Source organism: Homo sapiens, chromosome 8, assembly GCF_000001405.40.
Source record: "Homo sapiens chromosome 8, GRCh38.p14 Primary Assembly".
Taxonomy (NCBI): Eukaryota; Metazoa; Chordata; class Mammalia; order Primates; family Hominidae; genus Homo; species Homo sapiens.
Window position 1 is genome coordinate 109499089 of NC_000008.11, and position 18785 is coordinate 109517873.

General features: G+C 37.3%; 1 protein-coding gene across 7 annotated transcripts in view; it reads left to right on the forward strand.

The window, feature by feature from the left end:
* PKHD1L1 (PKHD1 like 1) overlaps positions 1–18785 on the forward strand; it is a 174747-nt gene that overhangs the window by 136628 nt on the left and 19334 nt on the right. For all 7 annotated transcript variants that reach the window (NM_177531.6, XM_011517371.3, XM_017013971.2 and 4 more), the window contains 5 exons: positions 5239–5404; positions 8575–8807; positions 9009–9176; positions 11689–11846; positions 16082–16217. In NM_177531.6, the coding sequence (NP_803875.2) occupies positions 5239–5404; positions 8575–8807; positions 9009–9176; positions 11689–11846; positions 16082–16217 (861 nt within the window). The remainder of the gene's footprint in view (positions 1–5238; positions 5405–8574; positions 8808–9008; positions 9177–11688; positions 11847–16081; positions 16218–18785) is intronic.

Consider the following 18785-nt stretch of genomic DNA (forward strand, 5'->3'; position numbering starts at 1 on the left):
CCTTTTTAAAATTGAAGAACCTTAAGCTCAAAGAACTTAGTGCCTGGCCAAATTCCCACAGCTATTGGCACAGCTAGGATTAGAATCAAAATCTTCTGATTCAAACTCCACTGCTCTTTCACTGAACCAGGATGGCTGCTTAGAAATGTAAAATAATTATATATAAATTAATGTAGTAAACACATCAATTATTTTCATTTGGCCTATTAAATAACACTGTGCATTTCCTGTTTTAATGGAGCAAGTGTCCCTTCCAGGATAATTTTAACCAGTGTCTCTGAAGAAAGTAGTTCAGTAAGTTAGACATCTAAGTTTTAACATATTCTTTCTCACAGCTTTAGATCCCAGAAATGTGAAACAAATTAGCAACACTTTTAAGTGTTAATTGCAATGCTCATACCCTTGGAGGAAATTGTATAACATGCTACATAGGTTGTAATTGAACATATATGGCTTTTAATAAATAATATGCTCCAGAATATTATAAATATCATGTGACAATGAAACTGCCCTTATGAAATGAAGCCTTAAGATTGAAATTTATTGAAAGAACATTAATAACTATTATTCTTTCATAAGATATAGTCTTTTAAAATAACATATAAAAGTTGGTTGACTGAGATTCACTAGAAACAGCCTTAGATGAGGACTTTCATATTAGTGGCTTCTTGGAACACCTAGTAGAAAGGGAAGGAAGAGAACAGGGCAAGGGAAGTTGCTAAGCAAGGATGTGATATGAGCTGAAGGGCAGCTATACTTGATGCCACTGGGAAACTCTAGAGTGTAAGTTAAAATTGCCACGGAGTTGATCCCACATCTGGTGAGGTGGGTAGGGGACGGAAGTCATTTGTATCCCCATGTTAGTTTTTGGTTACAGCTGCCCCTATGGGGAGGACCTTGATTTCCCGGGTATGTGGCTCCTTTTTGGCTAAGCTAATTGTCTGGGAAAAGGGAGATTTGTTAACAGCCAATATTCAAAGAGATGAGAGATGGGTGTACCAGCCTGTATCCACTTTAGTCCTCTCTTGGGACTACTGGGATCTACTTGCTTTCTTCATTGTTAGTTATATTAAGTTATATATGATTTCTCCAAGATTCTGCATGGTCACAATTTTTGGGAAAAACTTTAAGAAGAGGTTTGGTGGTCACCCTGCCATAGCTGGTCCCTAAACCATAAATGATACTCATCATCTCTCTCATCCATCACCCTTTCTAAATTTCTGTCTTCCTTGGTTAACACTTCTGCTTGTCAAGATGGCTTGCCTGGTAGAATGGCTCAGACCCTCATTCCTGTTATAAATAGGCCCCTGGTCCATGGTGGCTCATGCCTGTAATCCCAGCACTTTGGAAGGCCAAGGTGGATGAATCATGAGGTCAGGAGTTCAAGACCAGTTTGGCCAACATGGTGAAACCCCGACTCTACTAAAAATACAAAAAAAAAAAAAAAAAAACCTAGCTGGGCATAATCCCAGCTACTTGTAAGGCTGAGGCAGGAGAATTGCTTGAAACTGGGAGGCGGAGGTTGCAGTGAGCCGAGATCACACAACTGTACTCCAGCCTGGGCAACAGAGTAAAACTCTGTCTCAAAAAAAAAAAAAAAAAAAAAAAAAAGTCCCTGGTTTCTGTGCCCTTATGAAGCCATGACTTCTGTACTTGCCATTTTACAACTAACAGTGGGCATATACCCCAGTGGATCATGTGAGTGCATCCTGCCTTCATTCTATAGAATAGGCCTACCTCTGCATGGTGATCAGGATCAGTTACTTCTGCCAGGTGGTAAATGCCTTCTTTGTCTGACGAGAAGCCTGAAGTGACAATGAGGTAGGTATAACTTTATTTTTATTGAGTCACTTACTGTATGTCCTGCTGAAACACTTCTCATCTGGGAACTATGACCTCCAGACTCATAGAACCTAAAATTTTAGTATTGGAAGCACAAGTTTCCCAAGTGAACTTCCAGGGATAATGGTGAAAACAGTTACTCCTACTTCTTGCCTTTGGTACCAGCACCCATGTATTCTATATTTTTGATATTTACCACCATATAATGCCCTTTGTTTTAGGTTAATAACACATTTTTTGCAGGTTGTCATTTCCAAAGTTGACACGTCAGCTGTGCCTTCAAGAATCTATTCCACCAGTCTTTTGGGGTGACATTCTCCAGATGCTATATTGTATGATTGGAGCAATTCTTCCATGGTGATTCCATTGTCTTATGCTCACCCCTGTACCTATTTTGTCGAACGTGAGTTCTTTAGTCCAGGGTGATGTTATGCAGGAGCCCGTGCCATTAGATCACTTTGTGAGTCCTAGTATGGTGGTGCTAACTGAAGCCCTATAAGAAAGGAAAACTCACACCAGGAATACATGTCAGTACTACTCAGCATGAATTGTTACCTTTTCCAGGGTGGAATAAATCTGATGTCGCCAACTTTAATTTAAGTAATTGTTTGATTTCCTGAGGAATGGTAGTATACTAAAGACTACATTTTAATTTCTGTGCCAGGCAATTTGGGTCAGACATTATGTAGTAGAAGTAGCTCCACTAACATTGGAAAGAAGGTGTCCATACTGTTGGATCCATGCATAGCCTCCATCTTCACCAAAAAGGCTACTCAGTTCATAAGCTGATTTTGTAAGGGCTGGGGTGTCTGAGGACAGAGATTAACTGATATTTGTTGGACAAATCATCCTGCCCATTTGGTTTTTCAGGTACTCTTCTGTATTGAATGCTTATTGGTGGGAAATAGCATGCCTTTTATACCCATTTTGACATGTCTATCCACATATTTTTTCCTGAACATCCAGTCTACTTCCTTCCAGGCCCCTTACCAACCAGCTAAGCCACTCATCACTACCCAGGAGTCCATATTTATCCTTACCTTAGATCAGTTCTCTCTCCACAAAAAGTAGGTGACCCTGTGTACTACCCAAATTTCTTTTAATTGGAAAGATCTTCCCACACCACACCACACCACACCACACCATACCACACCACACTCATTCAAGGCCACCTCTGAGTTGGGCTGAAATGCATTGGAATTATGTAATACATCCAATATAATACATGCAATTTCAATATTCCCATTTTTGAGCCTTTGACCTGCATTTTTCTCACAACATGTCATGGAAATTTGGGCATTTCTACTTAATGTGGGCCATCACTATTTCCAAGCTTCTAAAAGTCATTCCAGCAACATATTAAAACTGGCCATACTAGTGTATAATTCCCTTGGAACAGGTCCTGTGGAAGATAAGATTTGTCTTGTAAGGCTCTGTTGAGGTCCCTGATGATTTCAAGCAAGCAGAGCAGGAAGTTACTTTCTAATAAGAAGGAATATACCAGTTATACACATCCAGAGCATTCAGCACATTCTGAGACTTCAGGGTCCAAGTGGCTCTTCCCACATATCTCCAACTAACTTAGCATCGCACTTTGTTTCTGTCAGGGCCTTTGATGTAGGGGATTTGGTAGGTCTCAGAACCCAACCATCTCTTAAGTTGTAAGGTTCCTCTGATCTTACACTTAGATCCTGAGATTTGCTTTGAATGTGTGAATAACCACCATAGTTTCCTTTTCTTTCTTCAAAGCATTAATAAAGTAGAAGCAGAAATGGAATTCTTATGCAAGTGGCTTATTGAAGGTATGCTCTCAGGAGAAAGGGAGTGAAAGAAGTATTAGAATAGGGCAGAGGAAGGAGCTAAGCAAAGATATGACCTCAGCTGAAGTTCAGCTTCTTCTACCTGAAACTTCAGAGAGCTGTGGAGTATAAATTGTGCCAAATATTTTTCCCACATTGAGGCAAAAGGTTCTTCCATATCTCTTGTCAGTTAGTTAGGCATAGCTACTTGTGGTAATGGACGGGAGTACATAATCTCTCAGGTGAGGGAACTCTCAAGTGGCTAAACGCAATTCTTTAGAGAAGACAGCAGCTGGCCAGGTGCAGTGGCTCACGCCTGTAGTTCCAGCACTTTGGGAGGCCAAGGAGAGTGGATCACTTGAGGTCAGGAGTTTGAGGCCAGCCTGCCCAACATGGTGAAACCCTATCTCTACTGAAAAAATACAAAAATTAGCCAGTCATGGTGGCAGGCACCTGTAATCCCAGCTACTCAGGAGGCTGAGGCAGAATTGCTTGAACCCAGGAGGCGGAGGTTGCAAGGAGCCATGATCACACCACTGGACCCCATCTCAAAAAACAAAAAACAAAAACAAAAACAAAAACAAACAAAAAAAAAACAGAAGACCGCAGCTATGGGTGGTTTGCAGCCAATACTTATAGGAGGAACTAGGGGTTGGGTGCACTGGCCCAGTAAAGGAGATCTGGGCAGGGCACAAACAGCATCTGCTACTGTGATATTTTCTTAATACTAATCTACAGGTTTGTATTCCTGTATATAGACTCTTCTTAGGAGAAAATATAATTAAGAAGGGGCATAGATAAAACATAACTGATTTAAGAATTTTAGAGGTCACCTTTTGCTTTTCTGTTTAGAGTTATTGGATTTTAAGTATAATGGAGATTAAGTTTTTGGATCCAATCAATTTTCTCTTTTAGCCACATAATATATACAAAGAAGCCAAGGGAAAAATAGTGGTTCATTTATCTTAGCTGGATAACAAACAACCCCCCAAATTTAGAGACTTTAAACAACCATTTAGCTCATGATTCTGTGGATTGTCAATTTGGGCTTTGTTCAGCTGGATGGTTTTTCTACTGGTCTCACCTGGTCTTGTCCATTAGGTGCCATCAGTTTACAGGATGGCTATGGGCTGGTTAGTCTAGGATAGCCTTACTTCCATGACTGGAGGTTGGTGCTTGCTGACAGTTGGTGCTGGCCATTAGCTGGGGCGATAGGAGTGATAGAGCCACATGTATCCCAGGCTTACTCATATGTTGGAAGTCACAGAATTCCCTGGAACACTAAGAAAGAGCAAGCTCCAATATGCAAGCACTCTCCAGATCTCTGTTTATGCCATGATTGCTATTGTCCCATTGGCCAAACCAAGTTACATGGCCAAGCCCGGAGAAAATATGGGAGATCATTACCCAGTGATATGGATATTGATATTGGGAGGCAACAGGCTACAACAAATAGTGGTAGACTTATTTACCATATCAGGCAAGAGCTCCATGTTTAAGGTAGTGACAAAAGATGTGTTTGGCAGAATGTGCATTAAATCTGATTTTATCACTTTCTTTAGAGAAAATAATCACTTATCTATTATTTATGTTTTAGGTTCAACATTTGTTGGATTTAAGAATGTTTGTTCAGGGGAAACTAATGTTATATTCATTACTAACCCTTTAAATGAGGATTTACAGCATCCAATCCATGTGAAGAATATAAAACTGGTTGATACCACTGAACAATCAAAAATATTTATACATAGGCCTGATATAAGGTAAAATACATAAAAATTGTGGTTTTTCTATCTTTATAGTTTTTCATTCTCACTTCCTCCTGCTCAAGATCTGAGAAAGTTGGCATATTAAAATAACTGCCAGTTTTTATGATACTTTAATGAGCATTATGAAAATTAAGACCATTTAATAATGTAAATCTAAATGTTCTCAGATGAGTTTTTAAAACTGGGCTTTAATATATATGTTTTCTCCCATTGCTTTTTTTGTGTGTGAATCATCAATAACATCATCATTGTTAAATATGAAAGCTATAGATGGGGTCTGAAGTGTGTTATACATTAATATCTTTCCATTTAGAGCAGGCATAATGTGCCTGTAGTTCTAGCTACTCAGGAGGTTGAAGCAAGAGGATTTCTTGAGCCCAGGAGTTTGAGGACATCCTGGAAAATAACTCTGCCACTCAGGCTGGAGTGCGATGGTGCTATCATGGCTCACTGCAGCCTCAAACTCTTGAGTTCAAGCAATACTTCCACCTCAGCCTCCCAAGCAGCTGAGACTACAAGCACAAGCCACTATGCCTGGCTTAATTATTATTATTATTATCATTATTATTTTTGTAGAGACAGGGTCTTTCTATGTTTCCCAGGCTGGTCTTGAACTCCTGGCCTCAAGGGTTCCTTCTGCTTTGACCTCCCAAAGCACTGGGATTACAGGCAAGAGCCACACACACAATTTTTTTGTTTGTTTCTCCAATGACAGTCATTAATAGATAAGAGATATCTCTTATTATTTCTTCCATTTTTCTTACCCTTTTTGGTTACCTATTGCTTCCAAAATATCCTATCACAGGTACCCCAAATGTGCTTGGAAATTAAATGTCAGCCATTATAATCACTGTGATTATAAATACACATAAACTTAGAACAATGATTTTCTGATCACAAAGGTCAGTTGGTGTCAGGACATTTCCAGAAGCGATCATTTAGATTCTAAGCCGTAGAATAATATATCTAATAATTCCTACTTTTTATTAGAAGTACAGACCAGAAATTTAGATATAAGACAATACTGGAGGCAGAAAAAATTTTATTACTGATCTTTGACCATTTTCAGCTTAGGGGAAGAGAAAAGGAATTATGTTCTGTATTTAAATAGGCATCTTAGCCAGTCATTGTGGCTAGTGCCTGTAATCTCAGAATTTTGGGAGGCTGAGGCAGGAGGATTGCTTGAGCCCAGGAGTTTGAGGCCAGCCTGGGCAACATAGGGAGATACCATCTCTACAAAAAATTAAAAAATAAAAATTAGCTGGGTGTGGTGGTGTACACCTGTGGTCCTAGCTACTCAGGAGGCTGAGGCAGGAGGATTGCTTGAGCCCAGGAGGTTGAGGCTGCAGTCAGCTGTGATCACACCACTGCACTTCAGCTTGGGCAACACAGTGAGACCCTGTCTCAGAAAAAAAGTAGGCACCTCTTCAGATAAATATAATATTTCATAAATTGTTTGACTTCATCTGATTTTGCTTTGCTGACAGCCCAATGCTTACTCATTTAATTATTGTTGAATTCAGTGTTTGGGGGGTCAACAGAGCCCCTCTTCAGTAGGCAGTTATTAGCTCTTATTTAGTTGTCACTGAATCTTTCAGATTCAACATATAATTTTAGTTTCTAAGTCCTGAAGAAAATACCACGTTTTCAAATATGATTTTTCTGAGTTCTGTGCTTGCAGGCGATGCCATCAGTGCTCTCCCAGATCTTTAGGGGCAGTGTACCCAGCCCCCAAATGTTCTCAGTGTTGGCAAATAACAACCCATGGCTTTTCAGAACTTTGCTCTTAGCCAAATAGAACTAGCCGTAGGAGTCCAAAGTGCTCCCTCCCACCAGCCTGCAGTCCCTGTAAAATGACTGACTGATTCAGGAGTACAAGACTGGCTGCTTTGTCTTAAGGTGGCAAAAACTCTGCTGTGCGGTTCATATGCCAGAGGTTTTCATGGGATCAGATTATAGCTAGTGGATAAACCACTTCTCTTCTCCCCCTTTTGAGAGGATTCTTTTGCTAATTTACTTGAACAAAAATCCATATCTCAGGCTTTATTTCTTGGGAACCTAGACTAAGAGCCCAAAGCCACAACATAAAAGACTGCCACTGAGCACTCTACTCACAGACTTGCTTACAAAAGTACATTGCACATATTTGAATACAACGAACACATGAACTACAAAAATATTTATTAAAATCCTTCTCTAAAACTTGTATATTATGTAAGGAATAACTTGTATTAATAGCTTCATATCTTTCTCATAGCAAAAAGGGAGAGCTATTCTAGATACTATTTAATAGATCTGAGCTGTCCACTATTATTTTGTTACTATAACTCTGCCCATGGTATATATCACGGTATTCTATGAGTATATTGTATGCATACCATTTGAATGTATAGTACCTCTCACATTAAGTAGCTATTTTATTATTATAATCAGGTAACAATCAATCAACACTCCAGGTAACTCAAGATGAGGCCAAAATACCATCTACATTTGAACTGCATGATGAGTTTATCTTACCTCTTACTTTTATCTATAGAATGGTTACTAAAATATGTAGCATAATAAACACAATCCAAGTTTATCTATATATCCATAAACAAAGGTCTATAAGAATATATACTAATCTGCAATTGGTGATGAGCCTAAAAGATTAGTATAGGAAGGTGATAGGGATTGAGCTTTTAATAAATCTTTATATTATTTTATAGTAAGCAATAATTTCATAATTTTTAAAGACAAGAAAGGAAAGGAAATAATAATAAAGACTTCCCTGCCAACACAGGAATTTTATATGTCCTGTATAACAGTAATCATTCACCTACTCTCTGGAGCAATGTTAGTATGCTGTGAACAATGCACAAATAAGAAATCTATCATTCAACAATATATAGAATAGAAAAGTGGAATTCTGATTTTATATCCCACAGGTATGACTTGTCGTTTTGAAATGTTAATGAATTCATAATCATAGACCAAATCAACACAATGGAAAAGCAGACCTCATTATAATGCAAATTACATAGGCTACTTGGTCCCACTTTGAAATCTCTCTGAAATAAAATTCAATAGATCAATTTTTTTGGATATCCTCTAAGTAAATATTCAAGTGTATTCATATTGCTCTCTAGAAACAATGAACTGAATAATTCAACTTTTCTCCACAGTAAGGTCAATCCATCTGATTGTGTAGACATGGTTTGTGATGCCAAGAGGAAATCTTTTCTTAGAGACATAGATGGCTCCTTTCTGGGGAATGCTGGTTCTGTGATACCTCAAGCAGAATATGAATGGGACGGAAACAGCCAAGTAGGAATTGGAGACTACAGAATTCCTAAGGCGATGCTCACATTCTTGAATGGAAGTAGAATTCCTGTCACTGAGAAAGCACCTCATAAAGGTTTGTTGGATCTTGCTTAATCTGTCATTAGGCCTTAAACTCATGAAACAAAATATGTTTTATTTTTAATGACTTGCCTACTCAACCAATAACTTTTATTTTCTACTTCTTAAACTAGCATAACAAGAAATAGATGTTATAAGGATTTTTTTGCAAAGAGATTCTGTATTATTGCTAAAATATATATACATATGTTTCTAGGAATTATTAGAGATTCAACCTGTAAGTACCTTCCAGAGTGGCAGAGCTATCAGTGCTTTGGGATGGAATATGCAATGATGGTTATTGAAAGTCTGGATCCTGACACAGAAACTCGAAGACTTTCCCCAGTGGCTATAATGGGCAACGGTTATGTTGATCTTATTAATGGTAGGTATTCAATATGAGTAAACTACAATTACTCAAAACATTGCTTGTTATTAAATGCATGAAGCCATCTCATAAATTATTTACCCCACACAACTAGCAAACATCAGGCCTTGTTTGCCTTCCATTTGTAACAATGAGCAATGCGCAGGGGAGAGACTTGATCCTGCAGTACCTCATCCAGGGAAGCAAGGACAGTTATTTAAAATTGGGCATTAAAATAAAAAGAAGGAGGGGAAGAGGGATGGAGAGGAGAGCAAGAAGTAGGGGAAAAGTTATTTCTGGAGTGATCTTCATACTTTATTGATAAGGTGGTATAAGTATTTTAAAGAAAAAAAAGGTCCAAGTATCTCCAAAAAATACAATTGACCTAACGTATATTAAAAACTGATAATGTGTTATTTGGAATACCTGACAAGCAGTATTCTCAGCCTGCTCATGTTTTATGCTCATGAATCTTTGGAAGACTTATCTTGCTATCAACATGTTTTTTCGTCTCTAATTCCTTTGACTGTCAAGACCAGCTGGTCAAGCTCTAGCATCAGGTTTCTTCCATTCTGGTCTTAGGAGGCTGTAGCAGAGAAGGAAGGTAATGGCCTCCATGAGGATGCAGATCAGCTTAGGAGACCAAGGCTTTTTGAATAAGATGAACTTCTAAAAGGTACTGAAAACACAGGACAGGGATTCATCGTATATCCTTGAAATGACACCAGGGGCTCAAAACTTAGTCCCTAAACAGGCTTAGATTAGGATCTTTCATGTGCTGAAAGTGTACATAGCTTGGATTAGATAGATTTATGTGCCCTTGTAGTGTCATAACATGTACTAAAATATTCTAGAAATCAATAAAATATAACAGAATGAACTAAATCAGGAGTATTCCAAAGTTTCATGATTTTAGGACTCTCCTCACTTCTCCCACCCCAATGTGTGCTATGCCTGGTTTCTGTGACCTGCAGTTAACCCAATTTTAGATGCTGCTTTTCGGATTGTATGAAGCAGAGATCATGAGAACAACTTCAGAACTGTCAATGAATAATGGAGTAATAGAAGAGATCTTTCCCAATAGCTCTGTTTTATATGGTGAAAAAGATTTCATTGTCTTATTTTTACATTTCCCTTTTCTGGCAAGCAATACAAGTTTTCCATTTATGACAATGACAAGACATATTTCTTCAATATGAATTTAAATTTTAAAAAGTGACTATCAATTTAAAGAAGTCTTATGTAAATGATAGCAGCACAGAAAAATCATGAAGGTGTTAGAAGAATCACTGAAGCTTGGGATGTGCTATACTAGATGGGAAAAAATTCCCCAAGATAAAAGTTACAGAAAATCACTGAAGTTTCCTTTTGAATATTAATATTAAATTTTATTTATTTTAAAAATATGACTTTTGTCTCTAAATTTTTATGTTATACATGGATATTTCTTTATGTTTGTTTTCAAAACCCACAAAGAAAGTATATTTAAAAGTAGGATTTATATTTTGTATGCTAAGGAAAAGGTTAGGCAATACATGAACTTTAGAAGTTTATATTGATTTAAAATTTGATTGAGGTGTAGTTATAAATATTGATAATACTTCCAAGTAAGCTAGGAAATTCAGAAAACCTAATGAATAAATACATCAATACAATTCATTCCATATTTCACTCAATGTTTTATATATGTATAATCTCAGCCACTTTAAGTGAAATAGAGAAGTTTGTTATAAAAGTCATTTTAAACCTGCTCAGAAAATGTTTGGATTCAGGTAGAAAAGCATTCACTATCTCTTGGCTTTCTAGAGGGTTTGATAGAGTGTTATTTCTTAGGTGGCTTCAGTTCATTAATGATGTCAACACTCTAATAGTCATAACTGTCAACAAAAATTTCTTAAAATTAAAATGGAGGAAGATTAATTACTTGATTAGACGAATGTGTTTGTTGAATTTACAAATTAACTACTTTTAAAAAACAAGTGCATGAGTGAAAGAACAAATTAATGAATCAATGGTTCAGGCATTCAAATGTCCATGTTTGCCAGGTACAGAGCCTATTGTTAACAAATTAACTCTATTATAGCACATTTCCTAACAAAGAGCCTGAGAAAGTTCAATTCCCACTCAAGCTTATATTTGGTAGAGAGAAGAAAGAATCAAGCATTTTCTTCCTCACCATGTGGCCTAGGCTTGAATATTATCATTAAAGAAGAGATATATGGAAATCTACTATTTCTATCAGTGACCTTCCGATACAAATTCTTATTAACACATTAATGTACCCTTCTTGCCCTGGGCAGTGTAAAAGTAGGGTGATAGGAAGAAGTTTCTTCCCTGCCTTCCTTTTTAAGCCAAGGTTTGAGAAATAGCTTAGCTGGCTGGGTAACGGTGGATGGGTAATAGGTATAAATGCTGAACTTGCATTTGAACTTGACCACTGCAATTTATTTTTAATACAATTACTCTTCAGATTTTATACTAATAAAATGTATGATATAGGAGTATGCACTTTCATTTTGCATGGATTTAGGCCCACAGGATCATGGCTGGTGTGCTGGATATACATGCCAGAGAAGGCTGTCCCTGTTTCACAGCATTGTGGCTCTGAACAAATCTTATGAAGTTTACTTCACTGGCACCAGTCCTCAGAATCTTCGACTGATGTTGCTTAATGTTGATCATAACAAGGTAGGGCAAGATGTCTTAAGAGTAATTGCTGTTGATTATTTGCATGTTATTTCTATCTGCTAAGGCTTGTACCTCCTCCCCTGTTCTAACATTGTCAGCCTTACAGCTCATTTCCAAGGATGCATCAGGGTACCACTGAAATTATTATTAGCCTAGACAGTTTTCATCAACCTGAAGGTACAAGTACCAAGCATCACCATCATCCCCTTGCCATATGCACTTGATTCTGGTACTCCATACGTGAAGCAAACCTAAATTTTTATTTTTTTATTATTATACTTTAAGTTTTAGGGTACATGTGCACAATGTGTAGGCCAGTCACACATGTATATATGTGCCATGCCGGTGCGCTGCACCCATTAACCCGTCATTTAGCATTAGGTATATCTCCTAAAGCTATCCCTCCCCCCTCCCCCCACCCCACAACAGTCCCCAGAGTGTGATGTTCCCCTTCCTGTGTCCATGTGTTCTCATTGTTCAATTCCCACCTATGAGTGAGAATATGTGGTGTTTGGTTTTTTGTTCTTGCGATAGTTTACTGAGAATGATGATTTCCAATTTCATCCATGTCCCTACAAAGGACATGAACTCATCATTTTTTATGGCTGCATAGTATTCCACGGTGTATATGTGCCACATTTTCTTAATCCAGTCTATCATTGTTGGACATTTGGGTTGGTTCCAAGTCTTTGCTATTGTGAATAGTGCCACAATAAACATACGTGTGCATGTGTCTTTATAGAAGCATGATTTATAGTCCTTTGGGTATATACCCAGTAATGGGATGGCTGGGTCAAATGGTATTTCTAGTTCTAGATCCCTGAGGAATCACCACACTGACTTCCACAGGGGTTGAACTAGTTTACAGTCCCACCAACAGTGTAAAAGTGTTCCTATTTCTCCACAACCTCTCCAGCACCTACTGTTTCCTGACTTTTTAATGATTGCCATTCTAACTGGTGTGAGATGGTATCTCATTGTGGTTTGATTTGCATTTCTCTGATGGCCAGTGATGGTGAGCATTTTTTCATGCGTTTTTTTGGCTGCATAAATGTCTTCTTTTGAGAAGTGTCTGTTCATGTCCTTTGCCCACTTTTTGATGGGGTTGTTTGTTTTTTTCTTGTAAATTTGTTTGAGTTCATTGTAGATTCTGGATATTAGCCCTTTGTCAGATGAGTAGGTCGCGAAAATTTTCTCCCATTTTGTAGGTTGCCTGTTCACTCTGATGGTAGTTTCTTTTGTTGTGCAGAAGCTTTTTAGTTTAATTAGATCCCATTTGTCAATTTTGGCTTTTGTTGCCATTGCTTTTGGTGTTTTAGACATGAAGTCCTTGCCCATGTCTATGTCCTGAATGGTAATGCCTAGGTTTTCTTCTAGGGTTTTTATGGTTTTAGGTCTAACATTTAAGTCTTTAATCCATCTTGAATTAATTTTTGTATAAGGTGTAAGGAAGGGATCCAGTTTCAGCTTTCTACATATGGCTAGCCAGTTTTCCCAGCACCATTTATTAAATAGGGAATCCTTTCCCCATTGCTTGTTTTTCTCGGGTTTGCCAAAGATCAGATAGTTGTAGATATGCGGCATTATTTCTGAGGGCTCTGTTCTGTTCCATTGATCTATATCTCTGTTTTGGTACCAGTACCATGCTGTTTTGGTTACTGTAGCCTTGTAGTATAGTTTGAAGTCAGGTAGCATGATGCCTCCAGCTTTGTTCTTTTGGCTTAGGATTGACTTGGCGTTGCGGGCTCTTTTTTTGTTCCATATGAACTTTAAAGTAGTTTTTTCCAGTTCTGTGAAGAAAGTCATTGGCAGCTTGATGGGGATGGCATTGAATCTATAAATTACCTTGGGCAGTATGGCCATTTTCATGATATTGATTCTTCCTACCCATGAGCATGGAATGTTCTTCCATTTGTTTGTATCCTCTTTTATTTCCTTGAGCAGTGGTTTGTAGTTCTCCTTGAAGAGGTCCTTCACATCCCTTGTAAGTTGGATTCCTAGGTATTTTATTTTCTTTGAAGCAATTATGAATGGGAGTTCACTCATGATTTGGCTCTCTGTTTGTCTGTTATTGGTGTATAAGAATGCTTGTGATTTTTGTACATTGATTTTGTATCCTGAGACTTTGCTGAAGTTGCTTATCAGCTTAAGGAGATTTTGGGCTGAGACAATGGGGTTTTCTAGATATACAATCATGTCATCTGCAAACAGGGACAATTTGACTTCCTCTTTTCGTAATTGAATACCCTTTATTTCCTTCTCCTGCCTAATTGCCCTGGCCAGAACTTCCAACACTATGTTGAATAGGAGTGGTGAGAGAGGGCATCCCTGTCTTGTGCCAGTTTTCAAAGGGAATGCTTCCAGTTTTTGCCCTAAATTTTTACATAAAAATAATGTACATCCAAAACTGATCACTTGGAATTATATACTTATTCTTCAATGCTGCTATTACTTATATATATATCAGAAATACACCTTTGAAATTTACTTCAGAGACTGCAGCATGTTATTTTTAATATCTTCAATAATGTCAAGTCTTTGCTAGAAACTGAACTCAGCCAGGATCATTAAATTTATATTTAATAAGTATGAAAAGAGTATGAGTTTAACCAGTAGTGTCATCACTCAGATTTTCTTTTCTAAGAATATGAGACTTTAAAGTCCCAGGGTGTTTAATGTGAAGAAAGAATGCTGATAAGGTGAAGCAGAGAAAGGAGTAAAGAAAGGAGGCACCAGCCCCTTCCCAGGAGACAGCAGTTCCATCCCTTCGCTCCAGACAAAACCTTGGAACCACTCTTGACTCCTCTCTTTTGCTCACATTCCTCATCCAACCCATCTGCAAGTTGTTTTGAGTCTGTCTTCAAAATACCAGAATCTGCCCACTTCTCACCACCTCCACTGCTACTATCCAGTTTGAGCCTTTCCTGGATCATGGTAATTGCCTCCTAATTCCTCTTTCTACTTCCACCTTTGCCCTTCTATAGTCTGTTCTCAACTTAGTAGCCAGATACCGTGAAAATATGTCAGATCACGTCTCTCCCATGCCCCAAACCCTGTAACAATTTCCCTATCGGTCTCTGTCCAAGAGTCAGAATCCTCACCATGGCCTGTGAGGCCCTATGGGAATCTCTCCCACCCCTGAGCTCTCTGGCTTCTTCTACTCCTCCAGCCCCACTGAGCTCCTTGCTGTTCCTACGGTCACCAAACATGCTACCCTCCCGGGCCTATGTTTCTGATGTTGCCTCAGTCTAAAACATTCTTCCCTAAGTGGCTAAAGTTCCGCTCTCCTCAGATTCCACTTTCTCAATAGGCCTCCAAGATCACGCCTCCTTGCTTGGCTCTCCCAAGTTACATGCACCCTGATTTACTTTTTTCTTTTCTCCACAGGATTCATCACCATCTAACATGTTTCCTACTTTACCTTTTATTATTTCTATTTTTTGTTTCTCATCACTCTTGAATATAAGCTCAGAGAAGCCAGTGGCTCTGCCAGCACTTAGAATACCACATGGCTGAAATAGGAACTCAAAATTTTCTTTTGTAAAAAATTAGAAGAGAATATTTTACCTCTAAAAATGAGAATGGTGACTACAAAGTAATGTGACTGTCAATATTCTGAGCCTCTGAAGACAATATCCAAAGAAGATTCCAGAACTAATGTATAGCTTATTAAGCTCCATATTAATCCTTCCCTGCTCTTGGAAAAGCCAGTCTCTTTATGATCATAGCTGAGAGCATGAAATGTAAGCAATATAAACATGAAAAATGAATAAAATTGAATCAGAGAGGATAGTTATTTTGACATTTATTAGTCTTCCTACCAAATTTTTCTCAGAGGTAATCATTTTTTTTCCAACGTTAAGTACCTAATTTTGTGTGGCTGCATTATACAGAGTATAGCTAAGTCCCTCTTTCCCTGCTCCTGATATTGAAAGCCTGTATTGTTCTTTGTTGTCTTTTAAATGAATCTTTCTTTAAACTCAGAGATACTCCTCTAATAATTTCTCTTATTGTACTTTTCTACTAAGAATAGTCAATTAAGGGTTAAGTTGTACTATCTGTATGAATGGTTGAATGTAAGCCCATTTTAAAATTTTAGTTCATCCCTTATCCCAAATCCATAAAACTTAGTTTTAATAGTTTGCAGAAAGTATACAATATTGAAGGACGGTTTAAGTGCTAAATTACAAATATTCTATTTTGTTGCTTTCTTAAAACTTTTTTTTCTTTAATAGGCTGTTCTAGTAGGAATTTTCTTTTCCACACTTCAACGTTTGGATGTCTATGTGAACAACTTATTGGTCTGTCCAAAAACTACAATATGGAATGCCCAGCAGAAACACTGTGAACTTAATAACCATCTGTACAAAGGTATTGTCTCAGAAAAAATACAGTACACATGGAAAATGTACTTATTTATAATATTTTAAGTGTCTGATTATTAGTATTTTTAATTCCTTATCTATCAATGATGGAGAAGAAAACAAGTTTTTAGCCATAGTCCACCAAATACTAAGATGTTTTCATTTGTAACATGAGTGTCTTGAAAGATCACTCCTAATGGAACTTATTTATCTGTGCACATGCAGATATGAGTTTTTGTTTATCATGGACATTCTTTTGCTTCCTAAGAATGTTTTCATTCTGCATACATTGAGTTCAGTTCTTCCTATGTCTAGAAGAGATTTTGCTTAAAAGTTTCACCTTATCTTGGCTTTACTTCTATTTCATAGAAGTTAGAACCTAAATTAATTGGCAGTCATAAGAATTATTGCCAAGAAAGCTAATATAACATCAACTGAAGGTTGTGAAGTAAATATGATAAAATAAACTTGTGTTAAATGAAACATGTGGAAGAGGCTAAACTTATTCATTGACCGATATTTGTAAAACCAGCATTTATCTCTGCTTATGTAAGTCTTTTTGTTAAACAGGGTTCTAATGAGGCCAATAGCATACATTCCATTCCACATGGGCTACTCATCATCATTTTCTGATATGATCCATATTCTTGGCTAACCATTATATAGATGTGTGTGGTAGATCATAATATGAGCTAGACTTGAAAATATGAATGGGTAATCTGTTTGCTTTACCATTTATAGAAGAAGTCATATTCCTACTAATAACATGAACTGCTAATGTTTCCAGAGACATTACTATATTTCAGGCACAGCTCTACATGCTTTATATGTAACTCATTGTTACTACATCATAGTAACTCTATGAGGTAGGCACAGATGAGTAAATTGAGACACAGGAAGTAATTTGCCAAGATAGTGGTCTTAGTTCAGTCTGCCATAACAAAATACCACAAATTGAGTGGCTCAAACAACAGAAATTTATTTTCTCTGGATCTCTGAAAGTCTGAGATCAGGGTGCCATGATGGTCATGTTCTGCTGAGGGTTCTTTGCTCGGCTTGCAGATGGCCACTTTCTTGCTGTGTCCTGACATGGCTGAGAGAGTGCAAGCAAGCTCCCTGGTGTCTCCTTTTAGAAGGGCACTAATTCCATCATGAGGTCTCCCCCTTCACAATCTCATCTAAACCCTATTTCTTCCCAAAGGCTCTCATCTCCAAATATCATCACCTTGAAGATTAGGGCTTCAACATGTAAAATTTGGGGACACAATTCAGTCCATAGCAGTCTCAAGCTGGTATGGTGCACAGCAAGAACTCAAAAACAGTCTAGCTGTAAAACCCATGCACTTAACCATTATGCTATATTTCCTTCTTTTAAATTAAGAGAGTCAGCGTTACTACTTTTTATATATAAATAGTTGTGTCATGAATAAAATGGCATTTATAGCTTAATTTTAATAAATTGTTCACTCTTTTCAAATAACAGATATGGTACCAAGCACAATATCATTCAGAGTTAGGAAAATAGGAACTATCTTCATAGGCAGAGAGTTCCACTAACATATATTGAACCCAGACAAATGCTGAATTGTATAATTAATAGTGGAATAAGGCACTTCGCTTCTTATCACATTTCATTGTGAGGCTTATTAGGAAAAAGAAATTAAAATTTTAAAAGGAGGAGGGCATTTCACAGTAATGAAAAAAGCAGACATAGATATTAATAAAACATTTCCAAAACCCCAAAATATGTATAGATCCACAACACAGGGATATTATTTTGTTCTCCATAGACAGAACGTAATGTAAAGAATTGATAATGTAGGTGCTGAAGAGCCAGAAAACAACTCCGCCACTGCCCTCTTACAGATAAATGTGTGTTTTATGGTAGTGGTAGTGGTGTTTTTCTGAAACAGCGTTGCTTTTAAGTGAACGTTTTGCTTTGGCACTTGGCATGCAAAATAATATCCCTGTGTTATGAACCTATACATATTTTGGGAGTTACCCAAATGTTTATGATCTTTGTCTCTGCTCCTTTCATTACTGTGAAATTCCTTCTTCTTCCTAAAATTTTAATTTCTTTTTCCTAGTAAGCCTCACAATGAAATGTGGTAAGAAGCTACATATCTCATTCCACCACTATTACACAATTCAGTGTTTGTCTGGGCTCAATAAGTGTTAGTGGGTTTGTTAGCTCTTAGAAATTGTTGATACTCTGCCATAAAATCATACATATATTCATTCATTATAATGATCTCAATCACTTTTGTAAAATTCAGTTTCCTAGCAGAATTTGTCTTGCATTAGCCAAACATTTTTCAGGCTGAAATGTAAGCCTGTTTAGTTGGTATAAGATTCTTCTGAGATGTTTTAATGTATACTTCATTTTTATTACACAGTTTTGTCCTTAGTTAAAATAGAAACACTGAATTGTAAATGCTCTTTTAAGAGTTGGCATATAGCACTGTATAAATTAGATAGCTAGTAAAGTTAAATTTATATTTTTAAATTACCAAATGCCTTCAGTCAAGGCTTTAAAATTATGAGCATGTGAATAGGGTTTCAACTACAGTATAGG